The following is a 27,120-nucleotide window of genomic DNA, read 5'->3' as shown; positions in this document are numbered from 1 at the left end:
CTCTCTTAGATCTCTGAATCTACACAGCACTCAGAAACCAGCAAGGAGCCTCCAGCTCCATGACCTGAATTCTTTCTGATATTAATAAATATTAAAAATATTTAATATCATTTCTGGGAGCATATCTAGCCTGTGGCTTGCAAAGTAACTTTATGAGAATTTCTATAGCTAATCATTTCAATAATGCCTTTGAAAAAGCTATCAGTAAAAGATGCTATCCTTCTGATAGCTTTATGTCTTTTCAAAACCTTTATGTATAGCTTCATGACTTAAGGTAAACATTTGTAGTAGTTTTTTTTTTTTTTTTTTTTTTTTTTTTTGCGACAGAGTCTCACTGTGCTTCCCAGGCTGGAATGCAGTGGCATGATCTTGGCTCACTGCAACTTCTGCCTTCCAGGCTCAAGCGATTCTGGTGCCTCAGACTCCCAAGTAGCCAGAACTACAGGCGTGCACCAACACGCCCAGCTAATTTTTGTGTTTTTAGTAGAGATGGGGTTTCACCATGCTGGCCAGGCTGGTCTCGAACTCCTGATCTCAGGTGATCTGCCTGCCTTGGCCTCCCAAAGTGCTGGGATTACAGCTGTGAGCCACCGCGCCTGGCCCATTTGTAATATTCTTCCAAGGACTTTCCACTGAATCTCCACTAACCTCAGTACACACACACAATTATTAAGCAAACATAGTTATTTCCCTGCACTATGAGAAAATAGATTAAACATAAATCAAACCTACTTACTATAGTTTAACCATTTTTTTCCAAATAATTCTGTGTTCCCAGAATGAAAAGTGCCCTGTTTGTTTACATTGTGAAATCATCATCTCTTTAGCCAAGGTTCACACTTCATATAAGCCACACTTGTGCTGGTAATTATGGAGCAAAGCCCTATTTAAGCAAACAAAAATGTTTCTCTTTTCTGCTTTCTATTTTAATTTGTAAAGCTTTTGTTGTCAGCCACAGTGATCTTACTTGAAACATATGTTACAAAGTGTATGATGTAAAACATTTAGCAAACTATTTGACATATTCTTTACACAGGGAATGGTTAGCAATCATTATTGTTATTATCATCATTATTATTATATCTCTTAAGCACAAATCTCATACTGTTATCCTTCTGCTTAAGATCCTATGTGACTCTGTCACCCAGGCTGGAGTGCAGTGATGCGATCATAGCTCACTGCAGCCTGGAACTCCTTGGCTCAGGAGTTGACCCACCTCAGCCTCCCAAGTAGCTGGGACCATGGGCAGCATGAGAAGCCACCGTGCCGGGCGTCATTGCTTTTCTTAATACAGTTTGCAGTGTTCTTGGTGACCAGGTCTAGCTTCCTGTTCAGCCCTCTTCTCTCAGCACTCAACCGTGTGTCTCTCCTTTATCTTCCACTCATAGGAAACAACATTATTCCCCCTAAATAGGCCCTGTCTCTTTAATCTCTAGGCTTTTGTACATACTGTTTCCTTTGCTTGGACGTTCTTCATCTGCGTAATGCCTGTTCATCTATAAGGTCTCAATTTCAATGATGCTGCTTCCTTGCAAGTCTGCCTCTCGTCTACATTTATAACAGCCTGTGCTTAACAGCCCATGAACGTACCAAGCCTTATAAATGCATCATGCAGTTACTTGCCCATTTCCTAGATTACAGACTCTTCAGGTAAGGAAATGATGGTTATCTTTTCCCTGTTGAATCTTCATTTGGGCTTTCCATTAGTACAGTGATTGTTGAATAAATCAACATTTAAATCACGTAAATCAACGAACTTACATTTTCTCATAAGAACAATACATTCTTTCAGTTTGAGGAAGTTTACATATATCCAATAAGACTCAAACCAAAACAGAAATATGCAATTACTATGTGTAAATATATGAATGCCTCTTACATCTTTCTTTTCATTTCAGGGCCTACAAAATGGTGGAAAGGATATTTATTCAATCGTATTGAATTTTGAGGGCTGGAACAAAGACATGATTATAAATGTATGAAAGGCAAATAAACCTTGGGACACCAAAAATCACTGAGCTAAAGGGAAAATCAAGCTGGGAACTGCTTAGGACAAACCTGCTTCCGTTTCTTTTCAAAGTCATCCCTCTGCTCACTGAGATAAATGCATATCTAATTGCTTCCTTTGGAAAGGCTAATTAGAACCTCAAGATAATGCAAACACTTTTGTCTTATTTACCCTATGCCGTCCTGCCTTTGTTTTGAGTTGTCCCACCTTTCTGGACCTAACCAAGGTTCATCTTACATATGTTGATTGATGTCTGACATCTCCCTAAAATCTGTAAAACCAAGCTGTGCACTGACCACCTTGGGCACATATTGTCAGAACCTCCTGAGGCTGTGTCATAGGCATGTGTCCTTAGTCTTGGCAAAATAAACTTTCTTTCTTTTTTTTTTTTTTTTTTTTTTGAGACAGAGTCTTACTCTGTAGCCCAGGCTGCAGTGCAGTGGTGCAATCTCAGCTCCCTGCAACCTCTGCCTCCCAAGTTCAAGTGATTCTTGTGCCTGAGCCTCCCAAATAGCTGGGACTACAGGTGTGTACCACCACACCTGGCTAATGTTTTAATTTTTAGTAGAGGCGGGGTTTTGCCATGTTGGCCAGGCTGGTCTCGAGCTCCAGGTCTCAAGTGATCTCCCCACCTTGGCCTCCCAAAGTGTGGGGATTACAGGCGTGAGCCACTGCCCCTGGCCAGATTCAAAGATTCTCTGGTTGGCAACCGGTTGAAAGAGTCATTATCTGAAGATCTGGGATCAATAGAAAGGAGTATCTGGGTTAAGATGAGGGGTTGTGGAGATCAAGATTTTATCATGCAGAGGAAGCCTCTACGCAGCAGGCTTCAGAGCTCTTATCAGGCCTAAAAAGGGGCCAGGCTGTTAGTTAATTCTCTTTTGGACCAGGGAAAAAAATCCAGAAAGGGAAGGGGATTCTCTACAGGACATAGACTTTTCCCCCACAAGAGACAACTTTGCAGGGCCGTTTCAAAATATGTCAAAGAAATATATTTTGGGGTAAAATATTTCAGTTTCTTTCAGGGCCTGCTATCTGTCCTGTGATGCTAAACTGGAGTCAGGTTGGAATTTGCTGTCTTATTGCTATAAAGAGTCTGCTTTGTCAGTCTTAAGATCTCTGATTTAACATTAATGCTGGTCAGTCATGCCTGAATTCTAAAGGGAGGAGGGTGTCATGAGACATGTCTGACTCTCTTCCCATCGTGACCTGAACTAGTTTTTCAGGTTTCTTTGGAATGCCCTTGACCTAGAGTCAGGGCCCATCAGTTGGTTAGGGGGCTCAGAATTTTATTTTTGGTTTACAATTATAATTAATTTTTTAGTAGTACATTTATAGACATCAAGTTATGTAAACTTGATGTTCTTTCTTCACTAAGCACATTTTCAACAAATGTATTCGAGATTTTTGAATGCCCAGCTTATGAATTATATATTATTATATTACATTATATTATTTGTTTTAGAGACAGGGTCTTTCTCTGCCACCGAGGTTGGAGTACACTGGCATGATCTTGGCTCAGTGCAGCCTCCACCTCCTGGGCTCAAGTGATCGTCCCACCTCAGCCTCCCAAGTAGCTGGGACTACAGGTGCATGCCACCATGCTGGTTAAGTTTCGTATTTTTTTGTGGATATGGGGTTTTGGTGTGTTGCCAAGGCTGGTCTCAAATTCCTGGGCTCCAGCAATCTGCCCACCACAGCCTCACAAAGTGCTGGGATTATAGGTGTGACCCACCATGCCTGGCCTGAATTATATAATTTTTTAAAAAGATGATCCAGATGATCCATAGTTAGTTTCCCTCTTTCCTAAATATTATAATCATAGTATCCCTAATTAATTTTTTTATTAATAAAGTAACTTTATTTAAATGTATCTTGTCACAGGGGAGAGACATATATTTGTAGGTATGTTTAGAACTACATAGGGCAGATAAATAAGGAAGTGGGAATGGACTATTAGTCTGCAAAAAATAAAATAAAATGAATAGGAAGAGTTGCAAGTAACGATGCTGAAGTTTGAAGCATAAGAGGAGAATCAGATTAGTAATTAGTATGATTAACTGCATCATATCTTTTTTTATTATTCTTATTTTTATTTATTTATTTATTTATTTTTTTGAGACGGAGTCTTGCTCTGTCGCCCAGGCTGGAGTGCAGTGGCACAATCTCAGCTCACTGCAAGCTCTGCCTCCCGGGTTCACACCATTCTCCTGCCTCAGCCTCTCCGAGTAGCTGGCACTACAGGTGCCCGCCACCAGGCCCAGCTAATTTTTTTGTATTTTTAGTAGAGATGAGGTTTCACTGTTTTAGCCAGGATGGTCTCGATCTCGCGACCTCGTGATCCACCCACCTCGTCCTCCCAAAGTGCTGGGATTACAGGCGTGAGCCACAGCGCCCAGCCAACTGCATCATATCTAATTTAGAAATCTTTAAATTAACTTATATATATACCATATATGCCTGGTTATATTTCTATTCTTTGGTGGTAAAAATTATTCAGTGTCGTTGATTTTTTTTTTAAATGTTAGAAGTACTCAAATAATGATTTAGTTCAAAATTAAAGCATAAAAAGGAGAAAAGGGCCCTCAGCCTTCTGATGATGTTTTTGGACCAAAGATCTACAATCTTTTCCCAAGTAGAAAATTGAATACATTCCGTGTTACAAATAAAGGAGCCTTGCTGTTTTTAGACTGTGGACCTCCACACTGCACTCTGAGCTCCTAATTTCTAAAGGCATCCAAGGGTTTAGAGCAGGTGAATTTGTCAGTACTACTTGTTTTTGGAGAAAAAGAGGTATAAGAAAGTGGAAATTGACTATTAGACTGCCTACCTGAAAAAAATAAAATAAAATAAATAGGAAGGGTTGCAAGTAAGGATGCTGAAGTTTGAGGAATAAGAGGAGAGTCAGACCTGCAGATGTGGCTTCAAGCTGGACTGAAGAGGTGGAGTTGCCAGGAATAATAAGGAGTGTCAAAAGAATACATTACTAAGTGAAAAGAAAGTCCACAGAATGGGAGAAAATGTTTGCAAATTAAATTTGATAAGGAATTTATCCAAAATGTATAAAGAACTCTTACAACTCAAAAAGAAGATTGCTGGGCAAGGTAGCTCACACTCATAGTCCCTACACATTGGAAGGCCAAGGTGGGTGGATCTCTTGAGCCCAGGAGTTTAAAACCAGCCTAGGCAACATAGTGAGATCCCATCTCTACAAAAATATAAAAATTAGCCGGGGGTGGTGGTGCATGCCTGTAGCCCCAGCTACTTGGGGAGCTGAGGTGGGAGGATTGCTTGAGCCCAGGTGTGAGAAACCACTCTGAGCAATATGGTGTGACTCCATCTCTACAAAAAATAAAGCAGTTTGGCCAGACATGGTGGCACAAGCTTGTAGTCCCAGCTATTTGGGAAGCTGAAGTGGGAGGATCAGCTGAGCCTGGAGAGGTTGAGACTGTAATGAGTTGTGATAGCACCACTGCACTCCAGCCAGGGCAACAGAGTGAGACCCTGTCTCAAAAAACACACAGAATCAAACAAACAAAAACCAAAAAGACAACCCAAATTTTAAAAATAGGCAAGAGATCTTAAGAAACATTTTTCCAAAGGAAATGTATGAGTGGCTAATATGCACATGAAAAGATGCTTAGCACCATTAATCTCTATGGAAATGTGAATGAAAACCAGAAGCTACCGTGTCTTACCCATTCAACTGCCTATAATCAAAAGCCCATAATTAAAAGTCTGTAGAGAGGGAAAGTAGGTTAGTTGGTTGCCTGGGGCTGGGGAATGGAAAAGTTGGGGGAAATGGAAAGTGATTTCTAATGAGTACAGGTTTCTTTTTGGGATGATGAAAATGTTCTAAAATTGGTTATGGTGGTGGTTGATAACTCTGCGAATATACTAAACATGTTTAGTGGGTGAATTGTATTGTATGTGAATTATGTCTCAATAAAGTCTAAGAAACAAGACAATAAGAAGTGCTGGCCAGTATGTAAAGAAATTAGAACTCTTATATAGTACAGGTGGGAATGCGAAGTGGTACAGCCACTTTGGAAAACAATTTGGTAGTTCCTCAAAAGGATAAATAGAGAGTTACCATATGACATAAGAATTTCTTTTTCTTTTTTTTGAGGCAGAGTTTCACTCTGTCTCCCAGGCTGGAGTACAGTGGTGTGATCTCGGTTCACTGCAACCTCTGCCTCCCGGGTTCAAGCGATTCTCCTGCCTCAGTCTCTTGAGTAGCTGGGATTACAAGCGGGCACCCACCATGCCCAGCTAATTTTTATATTTTTAGTAGAGAGAGGGTTTCGTCATGTTGGCAAGGCTGATCCCAAACTCCTGACCTCAGGTGATCTGCCCACCTCGGCCTCCCAAAGTGTTGGGATTACAGGCGTGAGCCACCGCACCCAGCCTGACATAAGAATTTCACTCCTAGCTATACACACAAGAGAAGTGAAAACATGTACACACAAAAAATCAGACACAAATGTTCATAGCAGCATTATTTATAAAACTCAGAAACTGAAAGCAACTCAAATATCCATCAGCTGATGAATGGATAAATAAAGTGTGACATAAAACACGATGGAAAATTAGCAATAGAATAAGTAGTGATGTAGGTTACAACATAGATGAACCTCAAAACCATTGACCTAAGTGAAAGAAGTCAGTCAAAAATAACCACAAATGTAAGATCTGATTTCCATGAAATGTTCAGAATAGTCAAATCTACAAGAGACAGAAAATAGATTTAGCAGTTGCCTAGGACTGGAGGGAGAATGGGGAAGTGAGAAGTGATTGCTAATAGGTACAAGTTTTCTTTTTAGGACAATAGAAATGTTCTAAAATTAGATTATGGTGATGGTTGCACAATGCTGTAAATATATTTTACAACATTGAATAGACGCCTTTAACTGGTAGACTTCATGGCATGTGAGTGATATCTTTTTTTTTTTTTTGAGATGGAGTTTCGCTCTTGTCACCCAGGATGGAGTGCAGTGGCGCGATCTCAGCTCACTGCAACCTCTGCCTCCCAGGTTCAAGCGATTCTCCTGCCTCAGCCTCCTGAGCAGCTGGGATTACAGGCACCTGCCACCATGACCAGCTAATTTTTTGTATTTTTAGTAGAGACGGGGTTTCATCCATGTTGGCCAGGGTGGTCTTGAACTCCTGACCTCAGGTGATCTGCCCCCCTCAGCCTCCCAAAGTGCTGAGATTACAGGTGTGAGCCACCACGCCCGGCCCTGTGAGTGATATCTTAATAAAGCTGTTAAAAAAGAATGAAGAGGCATATTATGCTCAGTTGAAGTACTGACTAGAACAAGTCTCTACTCTCTCAGGCTCCATCACCCTCTCATCCTTTTCCTCTTTCCTCTTGGTCTCTTCTCTGTCATTTCTTTCTCCATGACACAACACACTCTTGTCTCCAAAACTTTTTCATTCTCCTACCTCCTTCCTCAAAATGTGGCACTTTCCTTTAACTGGCTCTATTGCTTTTTTTCCTGTTTCTCTAACTTTTGAAATTGACATGTAATAATTGTACATATTTATAGGGTACATAGTAATATTGCAATACAAACAATGTACAGTGATCTGATCCGGGTAATTAACATATCCATCATCTCAAACATTTATTTCTTTCTTTTCTTTTCTTTTTGTTTTGTTTGTTTCTTTTTTTTTTTTTTTTTTGAGATGGAGTTTCACTCTTGTTGCCCAGGCTGGAGTGCAATGGGGTGATCTCGGTTCACTACAACCTCCGCCTCCCGAGTTCAAGCAATTCTGCTGCCTCAGCACCACCACACTCTGCTAATGTTGTAATTTTAATAGAGACGGGGTTTCTCCATGTTGGTCAGGCTGTTCTCGAACTCCCGACCTCAGCTGATCCACCCACCTCGTCCTCCCAAAGTGCTGGGATTACAGGTGTGAGCCACCGTGCCCGGCCTCTATTTTTCTTTTAAATCTGAATGTGATCTCTCCTTCCCATTCTAGGCACTCATGCTCCTCCAGAGCTAAGCTTAGAAAACAAAAGAACACAGGGATAGGGAAACAAATGATCTCAAAATAGTTGATGGAAAATAGCAACTTCTCTTTTTCTGCAGGGCTTCCTTTTGACTGTGATTTTCCTTTTCCTTTTTGTTTTTTCCAGACAGAGATTTTTCTCCATCTCTGGCTCTTGAAGTGAGATCAGAGACTCAAAAATACCACACTGTATCATTTACTTGGGCATTTTCTCAGAAGGGGATTAACTTTGGCAAGAGTTTGGGTGGTGACAAATGACTCAGAGATAAAAGATGAGTCAAGAAGCATTGCTAAAACTGTGGTCGCTTCGCATCAACCTTAGGGATATGGTACTTTGCAACTTGGCAACCATAACATTATATTGATTAGTCTAATGGATTCTTTCTGAGTATGATAGCAAAGACAAAGGCAGAATATTCTTAGTATATCACTAAATTCTATCGGTCATTATTTGATACTTAAAAAAATACTCGTCCCAAGAAGCAAGGTTTTAGCCACACAGCAGTTTTCATATTACTGAAAAACCCGCTAGGGAGAAAGGCACTCTAGTGGATCTCTATTTACTCAATAATAAAAGCAAGATCAAATGACCTTTATTTAAAAACAAACAAGCTTAAAAAAAATGGCAGGCAGAGAAGGGAGTCAACTTTTTCTCAATCCACTGCTTGAGAAATTATCTGATTAATGTTAGCTCTGGAAATTTTTATTTATTTATTTTTTATTTTATTTTATTTATTTATTTTTTTGAGACAACGTCTCGCTCTGTTGCCCAGGCTGGAGTTCAGTGGCATGATCTTGGCACACTGCAACCTCTGCCTTCCGGGTTCCAGCGATTTTCCTGCCTCAGCCTCCTGAGTGGCTAAGATTACAGGCATGTTGCCACCACACCTGGCTAATTTTTATATTTTTAGTAGAGACAGGGTCTCACCACGTTGGCCAGGTAGGTCTCGAACTCCTGGCCTCAAGTGATCCACCCGCCTCTGCCTCCCAAAGTGCTGGGATTACAGGTGTGAGCCACCGTGCCCAGCCCAGAAATATTATTATTATTATTATTATTGTTGTTGTTGTTGTTGTTGTTGTTGTTATTTGAGATGGAGTCTTGCTCTGTAGCCCAGGCTGGAGTGCAATGGTGCAATCTCGGTTCACTGCAACCTCCACCTTCCGAGTTCAAGCTATGCTTCTGTTTCAGCCTCCCGTGTAGTTGGGATTACAGGAGTGTACCATTAGGCCTGGCTAATTTTTTTTGTATTTTTAGTAGAGACAGGGTTTCACCATGTTGGCCAGGCTGGTCTCGAACTCCTGATCTCAGGTGATCCACTCACCTCAGCCTTCCAAAGCGCTGGGATTACAGACATGAGCCACCATGCCAGGCTGGAAATATTATTTTTAATACAACTTTTGGACAAAAACCACATGATAGTGACTAATATTTATTGAGCCCTTAGTATGTCCCAGCCACTGTTCTAAGATTTTTACATGTATTCACTTAGTTGAACTTCACAATCACTTTATGGCATAGATACTATTATTTCCACCACTTTACAGGTGAAGAAACTGAAGCATAGAATACATAGTAAGTGGCAGGGTAGAGACTTGAATCTAAGACAGTCCTATTCCAGAGGACACACTCTTTTTTTTTTTTTTTTTTTTTTTTGAGAGGGGGGGTCTCATTATGTTGCCCAGGCTGGAGTGCAGTAGAACACACTGCAGCCTTGACCTCCCAGGCTCAAGCAATTCTCTCACCTAAGCCTCCCGAGTAGCCTGGACCACAGGTGCAAGCCACCATGCCTGGCTATTTTTTTAATCATTTGTGGAGACAAGGTCTTGCTATGTTTCTCAGGCTGGTCTCAAACTTCTGGGCTCAAGTGATTCTCCTGCCTCAACCTCCCAAAGTGCTGGAGTTACAGGCATTAGCCACCATGCCCCACCAAGGACACTCTCTTTATTTATTTATTTATTTTTTTGAGATGGAGTCTCGCTCTGTGGCCCAGGCTGGAGTGCAGTGGTGTGATCTCTGCTCACTGCAAGCTCCTCCTCCCAGGTTCACACCATTCTCCTGCCTCAGTCTCCCGAGTAGCTGGCACGACAGGCGCCCGCCACCACGCCCGGCTAATTTTTTGTATTTTTAGTAGAGACGGGGTTTCATCCTGTTAGTCAGGATGGTTTCGATCTCCTGACCTCGTGATCCGCCCGCCTCGACCTCCCAAAGTGCTGGGATTACAGGCATGAGCCACCGCGCCCGGCCTGGCATTCTTTTAACTGGCGTGTCATACATATTGCCTTTTTCAGTCTAAAGACTTTCCTGGGAAGAAAGTAAATTCCATTTAGTCTCATGAATACATCTTGAGATCTATTCTCAGTATCTATTGTGATGAAGATGCGTCTTAATTCATGTTGATTCTGAAGGTCTTTTAGTGCTTTTCTTGAGTGACATTTCTAGGACCCATCTAAAAACCTTGTCAATTAAAAGGAGAGTGTATTATCCTATAAATATTGTATTTATCCAGTTGAGAGAGGTCAATCATTAATTGTTTGAATGCCTAAGTGAACTGTAGTAAGCATATTTGTGAAGAATAGAAAGTGGGGTCTTGGGCTAGGCATGGTGGCTCATACCTGTAATCCTAGCACTTTGGGAGGCTGAGGCAGGAGGATTACTTGAGCCCAGGAGTTCAAGACCAGCCTGGGCAACATCATGAGACCCAGTCTCAAGAAAAAGAAATTTTAAAAAACAGAAAGTGGGCTCTTAATACATAAAGTTCTTAGATAGTATGCTAGAGTTTCAACAACCCACATTTTATCAAGATAACACATAATTAACATCATACAAAAGCATAGAGTGACTTAAATTTTAGTGCACAATAATAGCAGTGAACTGTGCTGAAGTGTCTGTATATTACTTACATTTAAATTATACCACTGATAATGAAGTTTTGCATGCAAAACCATCTTAAGAAAAACCTCTGTAAGGACTTTACCATCTGGGATCTAGTTTGACACTTAGGATCACTTTGCTCCCGGTATACAGGCAATACCACTGAGTTCAGAGATGTTTCGTAACTTTAAAATAGTTTATTATGTTTCTCCTCATTTTATAACTGATAACTAAGAGTTTCGCATATATACTCTGTGTGTGTGTGTGTGTGTGTGTGTGTGTGTGTGTGTGTTTTGTTTGTTTTTGGGATCTTGTTCTGTCACTCAGGTTGGATCGTAGTGGTGTGATCATGACTCACTGCAGTCTCTACCTTCCGGACTCAAGCAATCCTCCCATCTCAGCATCCTGAATAACCAGGAATACAGGTGTGCACCACCACGCCCTGCTAATTTTTTTATTTTTTTGTAGAGATGAGGTCTGAGTTGCCCAGGCTGGTCTTGAACTCCTGGGCTCAAGTGATTCTTCTGCCTTGGCCTCCTAAAGTGCTGAGATTACAGGTGTGAGCCACTGTGCCCAGCCTTAATAAATTTCTAAATCCACAGGCATAATAAAAGTGAAAATGGAGATTGACTTGCTGACACATTGGTGTCAGTGCTGCTGAAGCTTGCGCTTTAACAGCAGTTCCCATCAGGAGTCCAGGATGATAGAAATGGAGATTTAGAGCTATTTTTAATATTTTAAAAAGATGAATGAAACCATAGTTTCATAAGGTTACACAAACTAGTTAAATACCAATTCCTTTGCTTGGAGTATGTTAACAGTGTGGTTATCACACCGGTAATTCACTATGAGCTCTCCAGAAAGGCATTCGTTCATCTTTCTTGGGACAATGCTCAGTGTGTACCAAGCATATGGTAGGGAGTAAACAGTTATTTCGCGCAGTGACTGCATGCCAACAGACACTCTCATTGGCTGCTGATGACATCATAGAGACTTCTGGGATTTATTAGATCAACCAGATGGTTAGAGTGATATGACACGCTAGAGTTTTAACAACCCAAGTTTTATCAGTTTAACACACAATTAACGTCATACATAAGTACAGAGAGTCTGTTAAATTTTAGTGGGCAATAATGGTTGTGAATGGTCCTAAAGTGCCTGTATATTACTTACATCCTTGCTTGTTGGTATCAACTAACATTTTTGTTCACTAGCAGGACATTAGAACAATGACACTGATATGTGCAATTTTAACAATATTTATTTATTTATTTTGAAACCGACTTATGAGACTGGCTAATTTGTGTGTGTGTGTGTGTATTTTTGGTAGAGATGGGGTTTCACCATGTTCCCAAGGCTGGTCTCAAACTCCGGGGCCCAAGCAATTCACCTGCTTCAGCCTCTTAAAGTTCTAGGATTATGGGCGTGAGCCACCGTGCCCAGTCTGATATGTGCAATTTTTCTATTGTTAAACTTTTGATAAGGTATAAAAGACTACACATTGAGTGCAGGGTACTCTGCCTAGGTGATGGATGCACCACAATCTCAGAAATCACCACTAAATAACTTAATCATGTAACCAAACACCACCTGTTCCTCAAAAACCTATTAAAATAAAAAAGAAAGAAAGAATAAAAGGAAAAAAGCAATTAAAAAGCTTTTGATAATTATTTTTACCTGATAAATGGATGGCTTGATTTTGCAAGAGAAAAAAGAGATACACAATTGAAAGAAATGCCTTCCCAATACATACATTTTAGCCAGAAGAACACTTTCAAAGGAGTTCAATTCACTGGGAAAGCTAATGAAAGGACTTTCCATCAAGGTCCACACACACACACACACACACGTATATATAAGCATATGCTCTCTCTTTATATATAGCATATAAATACACACACACACACACACACACACAAACACAGAAAATACCTTTCCCCTTTAGTCCCCTCCTCTCTACCCCTACCTGTCTCATTTCTCCAGCCTAACTGCAGAGTTGAATGCAGCTTTACCAGGGTTCTCTGAAACTCAAGCATAACAAATAAAGAGAAATCTTGTTTCCTGTGGCCATTACTCAAGGTAGGTGGAGGGGTCCTAAGAGACGGAAAAAGGTGATGGGATACTGGCAAGGCAGGATTCTGGCATTCCTGGGTCCTCTCACCAAATACCTTCAAAATTTCTTTTTTAAGCATCTAATATACTTTGCATTTCTCTTTAAGTCTCTAAATACTGAAATACTGAGCCTTAACTTTCAAACCAGGAGGTGGCTTAAACTCAATTTGGGGGAAAAGGAATCTGCTTTGAGAATAGAATGCCAGTTTATTTTCTTCTCCTTTCTTTTTTTAAGTTAAAAACAATTCTTTTTTTGTAGAGATAAGGTATCACTATGTTGCCCAGGCTAGTCTCAAACTCCTGGGCTCAAGCAATCCACCTGCTTCTGCCTCCCAAAGTGCTAGGATTACAGGCATGAGCCACCACCCCAGCCTAATTTATATTTATCTATATTTATATTTGTTTATATTTTTCAAAGTTTCCAAATACCAAATTGCAAATACCAAAATATGTAGATATTGCTTTTGTGGTCAGAGAGCAAAACAAGAAAATTTATTTTTAAAGTGATATACTGTAGAACAGGGAAATAGGCAAACATCTTCACAGCCGTTTGGGAACAGGTGAAATCCAAACTTTGGAGGCCAAATTGTCATGGCCACTAACAGTAATGCTACAGTAGGATTAAGTATGGTTTACAAAGTGCTTTTATGTACATTTTCCAGTGTACATTAATAGTTACAAGAGACGAGTTCCTCCCCACAGCAAGATTAGTATCTAAATGCTGGCTTCCTGGATATATAAGAGAGATGTGAGGAAACCAGGGAATATGAATTCCCCCTGACATGGTTTGGATTTGTGTCCCTATCCAAATCTCACATGGAATTGTAATCCCCAGTGTTGGAGGAGGGGCCTGGTAGGAGGTGATTGAATCATGGGAGCAGACTCCCCATTGCTGTTCTTGAGATAGTGAGTCTCACGAGATCTGGTTGTTTAAAAGTGTGCGGCACCTTCCACTTTGCCCTCTTCCTCCTTCTCAAGCTGTGTAAGATGTGCGAGCTTCCCCTTCATCTTCCGCCATGATTGTAAGTTTCCTGACAACTCCCAAGTCATGCTTCCTGTACAGCTTGTGGAACTGTGAGTCGATTAAACCTCTGTTTTTTTTTTTTTAAATTACCCAGTCTTAGGTAGTTCTTTACAGCAATGCAAGAACAGACTAATACACCCCTCATATTGATTCATTTATTCAGAAAATCTTGAACATTTACCATATCCCAGATAAAGCTATGAACTTTGAATAAAGTAGAGAACAGGATAAACATGGTCTCTGTTCTCTGAAAAGTTACCCGCCAGTTGAGCGGTTGCAAGGAAAAGTAAACAGATAAAATAATTGAAACATCTATTACATGCTATGAGGAGGTAGTTCCCTCCAGCCAAAGACCACCAGGAACACACCTGTAGTTAAAGATGTTGGATTATTGCTCATTGCATCAAGAACACACACCATATAGAATTGTGGGTTGTGTCAGTAAGAGGGTGTTAGAAAGAATCTGGTTGGAAGAAGCTAGCTGAATGATTTTGGAGGAAGGCCTAAGGTCATGGTGACTTGCCCTAAATTAGGTAACTGTCAGAAAGAGGGGACAATTCTATGATTGGGTATAGAAGCGGCAGTCACTCATTTTTATTTATTTTATTTTATTGTTATTATTTTTAGAGTCAGGGTCTTGCTCTGTCACCCAGGCTGCTGTGCAGTGGTGTGATCATAACTCACTGTGGCCTCAAAGTCCTAGGCTCAAGCAATCCTCCCATCTCAGCCTCCTGAGTAGCTGGGACCACAGGCACCTTTCCGGCTGCAGTCAGTCATTTAACAAGAGAGGAGAAAAAGTCTGGTATTTTGTGGGTCGTACAGTGGCCTTGCTTTTGTAAGTGCTTAAACAAACTTACGAAATAGGCTTGTTATCTCTCATTCTGTTATGGTCTCAGGATAACCTTGTCAGAGTTTGCTTCTGTGAGATCATCTATGTCTAAGAGCAGGGAAACAGAGCCCAGCTGTTGCTGCCAGGACACCTTCTGAAAGCCAGGGGCTCCTCTTTGTGTAAAGTTCCTCTCTTACAGCTGATGCTAATTTTTTTTTTTTTTTTTTTTTGAGACAGGATCTCATCCTGTCACCCAGGCTGGAGTGCAGTGGTGCTATTACAGCTCACAGCAGCCTCAACCTCCAAAACTGAAGGGATCCTCTCATCTCAGCCGCACAAGTAGCTGGGACTGCAGGCGTGCACCACCACACCCAGCTAATTTTTGTGTTTTTGATAGAGGCAGAATCTCACTATGTTGTCCATGCTGGTTTCGAACTCCTGGGCTCAAGAGAGCCTCCTGCCTCGGCCTCCCAAAGTGCTGGGATTACAGACATGAGCCACTGCTCCAAGCCCTATTTTATGTTATTTTTTCCGTGATTCAGAATCAGTTGTGGCCAGGCATGATGCCCAGGAGTTCAAGACAAAAAATAATAATAATTAGCCCAGGCTGGTGGCATGTACCTGTGGTCCCAGCTACTCAGGAGGCTGAGGTGGGGGGGTTGCTTGAGCCTGGGAGATGGAGGCTGCAGTGAGCTATGATTGCACCACTGCATTCCAGTGTGGGCAATAGAGCAAGACCCTGTCACAAAAAATAAATAAACAAATAAATAAATAAAACGAAAAGTAACAACAACAACAAAAAAACCCACAAATAAAATAAATGAAATAAAGTCCTTCTCTCTCAGCCAAGCTGTGACATTCCCTTCTGTACCCCGACAAGATAATACTTGCATGTTTAGTGACCGAGCATTTGCTCTACATAAGTAGTCAATAAGTAGTTTTGAGGATCATCTATTTATAGCTAACAGTGACACAGGCCCCAGATGCTCCCAATAAACAGAAGCAAATGCCAGTCCTGTGACTATAGATGATGGCAGTTATGATATTGGCAGCAGTTGGAAATGATGGTTTTGAAAACAGTGAAAAAATCATGAAGTATGTTCTATTTTTTTCATCGCCTCACCCTACCTGAATTCACTGCCTGCAGCTTTCTATTGTAATTCGAAACAACTATATTAGGCATGTGTTTGTGTGCTGTAGATGCTGTCTTGAATACCATGGCAACTGCGTGCTCTTAGTCAAACATTTTGTCTAGATTATACATTTAGAATTTTTTAAATGATATTTAGAAACAATGGGTATATTTCTGTAATAGCTTTAGACATGGAATTCTTGCTCAGAGACACGTAAAGTTAAGCTTAAGTGAAAGAAGGGTGGGAGATCAGGAACTGACAATGCTGAGGAGGAAAAGCTTAGTTTCCAATAATGGAAGGCTTTCAACCATTATCTTTTTTCTTGTAATCTTAACACTTTGAGAGATTGAGGTGGGAAGATCACTTGAGCCCAGGAGTTCAAGACCAGTCTGAGCAACATAGTGAGACTTCTGCCTCTACAAAAGATAAAAATAAAAAATAAATTAGCCAAGTGTGATAGTACAAGCCTGAAGTTCCAGCTACTAAGGAGGGTGAGGTGGGAGGATCCCTTGAGCTTTGGAGGTCAAGGCTGCAGTGAGCGGAGATTGCACCACAGCACTCTAGCCTGGGTAACAGAATGAAACTCTGTCTCAAAATATATATATGTATATATTTTATAGGAATGGGGTCTTGCTGTGTTGCCCAGGCTAGTCTCAAACTCCTGAGCTCAAGTGATCCTCCCATCTCAGCCTCCCAAGTAGCTGGGAGTGCAGTTGTGCACTACTGCACCCAGTTCACAATCATCCTCTTGTTGGCAGGTACACTTCCAATGTACACAAGTACAGACGGCAATGGAAAAACAACTGGCCTGTTAGCCAGGAAGCCTGTGAGTCCGGAAGTCCTGCTCAGGCTTCCTGGCTCTGCTACTAAGTGTGTGATCAAGAGTTTTGTGCCTTAGTTTCCCTATCTGGATGATCAGAAAGTTGGTCTAGAGATCTCCAAGGTCCATGCAGCTTTATGCTTGTGAGATGAGGCTTTCTCTTTCTGAGGCCATGCACACTTGAGAGCCCTTCCCTTGTATTTCCTTATACATAGAGCAGGAGTTCAAGCTTAGAATTATAACAAACTTTAGTTTAGACTCTGACTCTTCCCACTTATTTGCTATGTGTCCTTGGGGAAAGTTCTTTATTTGTGAAATGGTTCTTATAATAGTAACCAACCTCATAGGGTTGTTGGGAGGACTGACATGAGTTTAATATTAGTATCTAGCTCATATGTTATGTGGATTATGTGAGACAATACGCACAAAATTTGTTTAGTACTGTGCTTGGCTCATCAAAAGCAATCAATAAATGTCAACAAATATAAATAACAACCTTAAAGGACATTTTTCCCTTTTGAGCACCTCTGATGTAACACACAGCCAGCCAGCCTTATGGAATTAAAACAGACAAACAATTTTTTAAAAATCTCCTTATGGTAAAGTAATCTTTAATTTAATTTAATTTTTTTTTTTTTTTTTTTGACACAGGATCTCACTATGTTACCCAGGCTGATCTCCAACTCCTGGCCTCAAGCCATCCTCTCGAATCAGCCTCCCAAAGTGCTGGGATTACCGGCATGAGCCACTGGGCCTGACCAAGAAATCTTGGGATACAAAGTGTCCCAAGTAAAATAGTAATGCAGCTGCACATTTCTTGAATAATCATGACACAATTTAACATCTGTTCCCTGGGACTAACTGGTTCATGCCACTAACCCTCACCACACTGGGATTTTTCAGGCCTGGATTTCAGGTTAAGAGGGCTTTCTGTGTAACTATCTAAAAAATACTGTGCCCAGGTCTAAGCCTTTGAAGAGAATTGCCTCTGGTCAGTGAAAGTTTACCTGCCTGCTCCTCCAGCTTTTCACTCTGTATCTTAATCTTATTATTTAGTTTATCTAAAAGGAGCTGTCTCTTAGTATTGCTTTCCTATCCTAAGTGACCTACACACACGGGTGCAGTTATATTTGCATGTTTTGGCCTCAGCTGTTTACTGCCTATTAATCAGCTATCATAGCGGTAGCTACTAAACCCATATTAACATCAGAGTTACTTCTGATCCCTCTGAATTTAGTTTAAGAAGATGATTTGGGCCGGCCGCAGTGGCCCAAGCCTGTAATCCCAGCACTTTAGGAGGCCGAGGTGGGCAGATCACGAGGTCAGGAGTTCGAGACCAGCCTGACTAACATGGTGAAACCCCATCTCTACTAAAAATACAAAAATTAGCTGGGCCTGGTGGCGTGCACCTGTAATCCCAGCTACTCAAGAGGCTGAGGCAGGAGAATCACTTGAACCCAGGAGGCGGAGGTTGCAGTGAGCCAAGATTGCACCACTGTACTCCAGCCTGGGTGACAGAGGGAGACTCTGTCTCAAAAAAAAAAAAAAAAAAAAAAAAGAAGAAGAAGATGAAGAAGATAGTAGGGCACAGTGGCTCACACCTGTAATCCTGCACTTTGGGAGACCAAGTTGGGAGGATCACTTGAGGCCAAGAATTTGAGACCAGTCTGGGCAACATAATGAGACCCTCGTCTCAAAACAATAAAAAATGACAAGTAAAAATTAAAATAATTAAAAAAATTAGCTTGGTAATTCCAGCTATTAGGGATGGTGAGGCAGGAGGATCGCTTGAGGCCAGGAACTCTTGGCTGCAGTGAGCTATGATTTCACCACTGCACTCCAGCCTGGGCAACCTGTGAGTGAGACTCTATCTCAATTAAAAAAGAAAAAAAAAGACAATTAGAAATGTGCCATGTACATGTATATCCAGACACAAAATTATAAGTAATCATTAAAAATTCAAACATTTTAAACTGGGCATAGTGGTACATACCTATAGTTCCAGCTACTTGGGGGGCTGAGGCAGGAGGATGCTTGAGCCCAGAAGTTCAAGGACGAAGCCTGTGAATAACCATGGCACTCCAGCCTGGGCAACATAGCAAGACCCTGCCTCTGATTTAAGTAAGAAATAAGTATCCTAAGTGATAGTCCTTCATAACCCCATCCACAGATAATAACCCTATTAATGTCTTCTAAATTTTCTCTATACATGTTCTATACATTTGTCTTCATTGAAATGGAATAATAATTAAAATCATTTGAATAATTTGTCATTGGTTTCTTTTGTAATTTTATTTTATTTTATTATTTTTTATTTTTTAGAATCTAGGTCTTTTTCTGTCACTCAGGTTGGAGTGAGTGGTGCCATCACAGCTCACTGCAGCCTCAATCTCCTCGGCTCTAGTGATCCTCCCACTTCAGCCTTTTATGTTTTTGTAGAGACGAGGTCTCACTCTGATGTCCAGGCTGGCCTCGAATTCCTGAACTCAAGTGATCCTCCTTTTTTGGCTTCCTGAAGTGCTGGGATTAGAGGCTTTGTAATTTTAAATTAAATGTGTAACAGTAAAAAATCGTGTGATTCATATTTTGATAATTATATTTCCAACTGGCATATAGACATTCTAAGAGTCCTCCAGAGCTGGGACTGCAGCTGTTTTGATCATCAGTATGTCCCCAGAACCCAGCACTCCACCTACTACACAGCAGGTACTCATTAAATATATGTCAGCTGAATGTTGAGTGTATGAATGACTAAATAACAAAAATGCTACAGACTTCTCAGTGTATTTCTGGGATCGTTCTTCTTATTATTATCATTATTTTCAATGACTTCACTTCCAATGATATGAAATAATTCTTAAGTAAAGTTGCTTGATCAAATTCATGAACATTTTACATTTTTATAGATAGCTTCAAATTGATCTGCAGAGTTTATACTAATTTGTACTCCATCAACAATGAATTAGAGAGCCTATTTTCCCACACTTTCCAAAAAATGTGGAATTTTACAACAAAATACATATGACTAAAGAGAGGATTATTTTAAAAGTTGATTTATTACATCTCTGTAATTGTGAGGAGGAGAGAAATGTTATTTTTGTTTTTGGGGGGAAAGTTGGGAAAGATAAAACAGAGTCCCCTTTAAATGAGAGATTTAGGTCTATTGAACTTTGCAAAATTTTCAAAAATAATTTGATCTTGGATGTAGCTGAAATATGGATTGTCATATGTGTATGATATATAGTTGCAATTGCTCAATTTTTTCCTCAAAAAACTTAAATTACATAGTAAATGTTTAAAACTCTTTGTGGAAGTATAACACAATACAGAAAAGGGCATATATTATAAGTCTTTGGTCCAGTAAATTTTCACAAACTGAATATATTTATGGAGCTAGCACCCAGATCAAGAAACTGAATATTCTTAGTACCCCAGAAGCCCACTGAATAAGTTCTCATTTATACAGGTGTCTGTCTCGATTATGTCCGAAAATTGATTGTATGTAGAGCAGTAATAATAGTAATATACATTTTCTATTAATATATTTAAGTCACATTTGTATATAGTTACATATGTATTGTGTAGGGATTCTTATTGAAGTTTTTCTGTGGAATTCCTCTCATCGTTATACAACATGTTTTAAAGACAGGTCAATAGAAATACATAGAAGATCCCTCACGTCATGCATAGCTAAAATTAAAATCACTGATTACCCTGCACATTCTTAGAGGTTTCCAGATAACGCTGAACACCAACCATGCAAGTCATAGAAACAGCTGAGGACTCTGTGTAACACTCAGTGACGAGGGTGATTCAGACCCATGGCTATTATTAGAGCAAGCAAGTGTTAGATGTGTAAACAGACTATTAAATAATGCCCTTGGAAGAGGGTAAGAAAGTGAATCTGAGTATCTGGCCCTTAATCTCTCCAAACTGTACCAGTCCGAATCCAAATGTCACGTCAGTCCCTATTCCCGCTGCTCTTGGCCTTGGACTCTGCATGTCTGCTGCCAGGACAGAGTCGAGCTCCATGTGGCTGTGTCTATGAGTGACCTGGACTCACCTCTCTTTGTCAAGTGCTCCTCCAGGAAGAAAGGGAGAGATGGGTGTGACGGTCAAGAAACAGTCCAGAGACTCCAGTAGGCACATTTCTCAGATCTTTTGTCACATTTTACTGTGACTTCAACTGAAATTGTTGTCTTATTGGGCTTTTTAAAAAGTGCCAGAGATCCTTTAGTAGTTCATAAGCGTGATGACTGGGTATTCATGCATATGTGTGAGATGTGCCACCCTGGCAGGTGTGGTGGCTCCCACCTGTAATCCCTGCACTGTGGAAAGCTGAGGCAGGAGGATGGCTTAAGCCCAGGAGTTTGAGCCCAGCCTCCGCAACAAAGTGAGAACTTGTCTCTACAAAGAATATAAAAATTAGCCAGACATGATGGTGTGCACCTGTGGTCCCAGCTATATAGGAGGCAGAAGTGGGAGGATCCCTTGACCCAGGAGGTGGAGGCTGCAGTGAGCCATGATCTCACCACTGTACTCCAGCCTGGACAATAGAGCTAGACTCTGTCAAAAAAAAAAAAAGAAAAAAAGAAACCTGCCACCCTTGAACCTCATTATGACATCAGCACATTACCTGTCTGACATGAAGAAAAGAAAAAAAAAGTGCCAGAAACAACACAATAATTGTATGATTTTGTGTGGGTGATAATTACATTTTACATTTGAAGGCCCAAGTCTGAAAGGTGAGCACCAGCCATATAAATGGAATCAAAGCAGAAGTTAACACAACTCTCTCCAGTGAAAATAAAATCAGTTGCACAATGAGACAAACTGGTATAATATGAAATACATTTGGGCTTTGTCCCCAGTTCCTGACATGGAGCTCCTAAATCCCTTGTAATTGCCCAAGTGATAATGGTGATAGGAGCATCTTCTGTTATAATATTTGGTTATTATACAAAGTTGTTGAACACCTCAGAATTTCCTGAGTGATAGGAAATTCACCACTGCTGGGTTTTTTTGTTTTTTGTTTGTTTGTTTGTTTGTTTTGAGACAGGGTCTTGCTCTGCCACCCAGGCAGCAGTTTGACACAAACTGCTCACTGCAGCCTCGAACTCCCAGGCTTAAGTGATCCTCCCACCTCAACCTCTTGGGTAGCTGGCACTACAGGTGCACATCACCACACATGGCTAATTTTTTTTTTTTTTTTTAAGAGACAAGGTCTCACCACGTTGCCCAGGCTGGTCTTGAACTCCTGGGCTCAAGTGATCCTCTCACCTCGGCCTCCCATAATACTGGGGTTACAGGCGTGAGCCACTTGGCCTGGCCCCACAAGCACTTTTTATCACACCTGAGTTTATGATAATGAGGTGACTTATGGCGGGGTCCCTAGATAACTTCAAGATGGGGCCAACCAGTTGCTAGAAAGAACAAGTGATTAGAGGACTAAAGTATCAGAACATTCAGCCGCACCCACCAACCTTCAAGTATCAGAACATTCAGCCCCTCCCACCAACCTTAAAGTATCAGAACATTCAGCCCCTCCCATCCACCTCCAGGGAAAGGGTCGTCAGAGGCACTGGAGATTAAACTCTGTAAAAACTCTGGGACAATGGAAGCTCTGCTCTCCCTCCTCCAAAACTCACCCTCTGCATCTCTTCATCTGTATGCTTGCTAATATCCTTTATAATAAACTGGTAAACCTAGGTATTTCTCTGAGTTCTGGGAGCTGTCCTAGCAAATTAGTTGAACCCAAGTGGGGACTGTTGGAGCTCTGGTTTGTGGCTAGTAAGTCAGAATGGGTGGCCTGGACTTGAGATTGGGATCTAAAGTCTTTGTGGACTGAGACCTCAGGTAGATAGTGTCAGAATTGAATTGAATTACAGGACAGCCAGTTGGCTGGTGTGTAGGGAAAAACCCACACCTGGTCACAGAAGTGTGTTCTGCGTTCTATCTTTCATTGAGCATGTGAGTAGAAAGGAAAAAAATATTTGTTCTTCCCTTAATGCAGAAAAATTTTTAAAACTAATTCTAAATGTACCAAATAATTACAAATATCACTTTTTTTTTCTTTTGAGACAGAGTCTCATTCTATCTCCCAAGCTGGAGTGCAGTGGTGTGATAACAGCTTACTGCAACCTGAACTCTCAGGCTCATGCAATCTTCCCACCTCAGCCTGCCCTGAGGAGCTGGGACCACAGGCAGGTGCCACCACACCAGGCTAATAAAATTTCACTTTCATTTGGCAACATTCGGAACCTCAGTAAATTAGAGAAATCGTTGAAAATAGAATGAAGTTCAATGTAAGTTTGAGGCACAGCACTTGGAGAAAATCATCAACTTGCTGGGTGATATTTTTGTGTATTTTTCTCATTTTATCCTTATAATGGTACAATGATTTAGTTACTGCTATTACTGCCGTCTTATAACTGAGGATGCTGAGATAAGTGACTACCCCTCATGACCCACCTGGTCGGGGATGAAGGGAGGAGAGCACCCTGGTCTCTTTGACTCCAAAGTTTGTTCTCCTAAATAGTATGTTCTATGAAATGACCACATATTCCTTCAGCTCAATGATTCTACAATCTTTAGCCTAAAATGTGAATATGGAAATAGGTCAAAGCCAGAAGTGGCTTTAAATGCCACTTTCATGGATTCCTGCTGTATACCAGGCATGGTACCAAATGTGCCTCAAGGATGTCATCTTTTTTTTCTTTTTCTTTTTCTTTTTTTTTTGCAGACAGCATCTTGCTATGTTGTAGGTTGCCTGGGCTGGTCTTGAACTCCTGGTCTCAAGGGGATCCTTCCACCTCAATTCCCAAAGCATTGGGATTATAGGTGTGAGCTGCCACGCCCAACCAAGGATGTTCTCACTTAATCCTGTTACAACCAGTTTTCTGATGAGTCTTAGAGAGGTGAAGAAGCTTGCCCGAGATCAAGCAGGTAAGAGGCATGGAGGTGGGGTTTGGCAGCAGGTCTGTCAGTCAGACTAGAGACTACAGTGCTTCCTCAAGGGGACTTCTAAACAGATGAAACATATCAGAAAAGTAACACTCTAGCTTCTGTCTTTGTTTTAAGGATAATCCTTAGGCATCTTGGAGGCACATGGTTCTGTTTGGTCAATTACATGACTGCCCCTGTTATTTGTGGGCCCAAGGCACAAGTATGGGTGGAGGCCCACATACCAAATGACTAAATGTATAAATACAAACCAAGCTAACATGCTGCTAAATAGATTATGTTCGATCTTTCTACCTAGATAAACATATCTTTAGGATGTGTGGAAGGCCAGGTTTCATTTTCTAATTCTCCGACTCCTTAGCATGACAAGCCAGGGGGTGACGACATGAGGCACTCCTCTTCCTCTGCAATGATGGATCGTGTGCTGCGCCCCCAGCCCTCCAGCCTGCAGGAGCTCTGGGCTGTACATCACCCTCCAGGGTCTCGGATGCGTGCCTGGCTGCACCATCTACTCTTAAGAAGAGGGCCCCCAGGAAGGAGCTGGAGCAAGGCCTGTAAATCAACCTGAGGCCATTTGGCAGGGAAGTCAGGGGTGCTGCGTACTTTGAAGCTTGATCTAGACAGGGGCTGTGTGACTGTTGGGTAGGCATGGCACCTGGGCTGCATCTCCCCATCCAGAGGCTACAGTGGAGGAAATTCAGCGCAAGGCCCCGCTATGCTCAGGGCTGCTCCTGCTGGGCCTATAGGCCCAAAGTACTGCTTGTGGTGCAGAGCCAAATTCAAAGAAGCATCCTTGGCCGGGTGCAGTGGCTCATGCCTATAATCCCAAGCACTTTGGGAAGTCAAGGTGGGTGGATCACCTAAGGTCAGGGGTTTGAGACCAGCCTGGTCAACATGGTGAAATCCCATCTCTATAAAAATACAACAAAAATTAGCCAGATGTGGTGGTGGACAACTGTAATCCCAGCTACTCAGGAGGCTGAGGCACAAGAATCGCTTGAACGCAGGAGGTGGAGGTTGCAGTGAGCCGAGATCGCACCACTGCACTCCAGCCTGGGTGGCAGAGTGAGACTCTGTCTCAAAAACAAACAAACAAACAAAAAACAGAAAAAAACCCCAAACAAAAAAACAAAGCGGCATCCTTGAAACAACCAATATTAGTTTGTTTTTTGCTTTTTGTTATGTTTTTGTTTGTCTGTTTTTGAGACAGGGTCTTGCTGTTACCCAGGCTGGAGTGCAGTGACACTATCACAGCTCACTGCAACCTAGACCTCCTGAGCTCAAGCAATCTTCCCATTTCAGCTTCCAGAGTAACTGAGACCACAGGTGTGTACCACCACACCTAGCTAATTTTATTTTATTTTATTGTAGAGACGGAGTCTCCCTATGTTTCCCAGGCTGGTCTCAAATGCTTGACCTCAAGCGATCTTCACGCCTCAGCTTCCCAAAGTGCTGGGATTACACATGTGAGCCCCCATGGCGGCCGCCAATATTAGTTTTTAAAACTATTTCCTGTCTTTTAACTTTGCCTAGGTTCTAAAACATTCAAAGTTATCCATTTCTGGCTGGGTGTGGTGACTCATGCCTGTAATCCCAGCACTTTGAGAGGCTGAGGTGGGAGGATCACTTGAGGCCAGGAGCTCCAGACCAGCCTGGGCAACGTAGTGAGACCCCATCCCTACACAAAAATTTTAAAAATTAACTGAGTGTTGTGGCTTGCACTTGTAGTCCCAGCTACTCAGGATGCTAAGGCAGAAGAGCTACTTTAACTCAGGAGTTCAAGACAGCAGTGAGCTTGATCACGCCACTGTACTCAACGTGGGCAACAGAATTAAAGCCTATCTCTAAAAATAAAATAAAATAAAATAAAAATTTAAAAAAGTTATCCAGTAAATATATCCCAGAAATAATTCTTCAGTCCTCCTCTTTTCACAATTTTCTACCATCTCACTGGCTCCAAAGGCCCTCTGACCACACATACCCCCTAATCAAGAAAGAGAGTCTCTCTCTGTAATACCCAGGTCAATTTCTCTGGCCTCCCTACTTCCCTTCCTCCTTCCTTCCCTTTCTTTCTTTCTTTTTTTTTTTCTCACTTCCTTTTTTTCTCCAGCTTTTAATTATGTGAACCCTTTTAGCTCTCCTTAAGAAAAATTCCTTGTTCCTCTTCCAGCCTAGGTTTCATGTATTCTTAGATTTTTGCATCACAGATATTTTTAACCAAGGAAAAGAGGAGCACTTAGGGATGAGGGTGGGCAGGGGTGTTAAGAGAAGGTGAGTGGGCAATGAGTAGATTCCCTGGGTTGGGAGACTGGGTGCATAGAGAGTTGATATGGTGAGAAAGACCAGGTGCCTTGGCTGGAACCTAAAACAAACAAACAAACAAAAAAACCTGTGAAAATGAGAGTCAGGTAGGCACCAAATAAATTGAATATATTTTACCTTTTATTTGTTTGTTTGTTTGTTTGTTTGAGACAGGGTCTCGATTTCACGCAGGCTGGAGTATGGTAACACGAGCCTGGCTCACTGAAGCCTCAACCTCCTGGGCTCAAGCAATCCTCCCACCTCAGCCCACCAAATAGCTGGAATTACAGTTGTGTGCCACCATGCCCAGCCAAATTTGGGGGATTTTTTTTGGTAGATACATGGTCTCGCTGTATTGCCCAGGCTGGTCTGGAACTCCTGTGCTTAACCCATCCACCCATCTCAGCTTCCCAAAATACTGAGATTACAGGCATGAGATACCATACCTGGCCATATTTTGCCTTTTCTTTTAGAAATGTGTACACTAAAAGACTAATTTATGACATTAAAATTCAGGGAAATCACTAAAAATATATATGATGACTTTCAGGAAATTTTTTTTTTAATGCTTAATTTGATTTCTTGACTACTGTGTGTTTTTCTATCTTTGTTTTACTTTAAAAACAACAACAATAGAGCTGGGCATGGTGGCTTGAGCCTGTAAACCCAGCTACTTGGAGGCTGAGACAGGAGGATTCTTTGAGCCCAGGAGATGGAGGCTGCAGTGAGCAATGATCACACCACTGCACTCCAGTCTGGGCAATAGAGTGAGGTCCAGTCTATAAAATAAAAATAAAATAACAACAATAAAAAATCATTTGTGAAAACCAGATATACTCCCAAAACATCAGGATATACAGTTTGGGCAACCCAGTATACGTATTACGAGCTATGCAACATTGGGAAGAGAGTATTCACAGAAACTGCAGTCCACATCATTGAGTTCAAATGAGTTATCGATGATGGTTTTTCCTTTGAATCTAGAATATTTTTCTAAATGTAAGAAATACCTGCCAGATTGATTGTATTGTACTTAGCTTATA

General features: G+C 41.3%; 1 pseudogene, besides 3 other annotated features; it reads left to right on the top strand.

The window, feature by feature from the left end:
• Positions 7,995-8,195: a silencer, noted in NCBI's record as "peak908 fragment used in MPRA reporter construct". NCBI's record gives its function as "represses an SCP1 promoter by STARR-seq MPRAs in K562 erythroleukemia cells {active_cell/tissue: K562}" and the evidence as "EXISTENCE:reporter gene assay evidence [ECO:0000049][PMID:32103011]".
• Positions 8,195-8,395: a silencer, noted in NCBI's record as "peak907 fragment used in MPRA reporter construct". NCBI's record gives its function as "represses an SCP1 promoter by STARR-seq MPRAs in K562 erythroleukemia cells {active_cell/tissue: K562}" and the evidence as "EXISTENCE:reporter gene assay evidence [ECO:0000049][PMID:32103011]".
• Positions 10,146-10,647: an enhancer, noted in NCBI's record as "NANOG hESC enhancer chr10:23698923-23699424 (GRCh37/hg19 assembly coordinates)". NCBI's record gives its function as "activates a minimal SCP1, AML or CMV promoter by ChIP-STARR-seq in naive H9 embryonic stem cells {active_cell/tissue: H9 hESC(naive)}" and the evidence as "EXISTENCE:reporter gene assay evidence [ECO:0000049][PMID:30033119]".
• On the top strand, positions 21,042-21,111 carry LOC124902591 (uncharacterized; annotated as a pseudogene).
• The last annotated feature ends 6,009 nt before the right edge of the window (positions 21,112-27,120 follow it).

This window comes from Homo sapiens, chromosome 10 (genome assembly GCF_000001405.40).
Source record: "Homo sapiens chromosome 10, GRCh38.p14 Primary Assembly".
NCBI classification, from domain to species: domain Eukaryota; kingdom Metazoa; phylum Chordata; class Mammalia; order Primates; family Hominidae; genus Homo; species Homo sapiens.
Note: the sequence above shows the minus strand (reverse complement) of the source record. Positions and strands in the feature narration are given on the sequence as shown.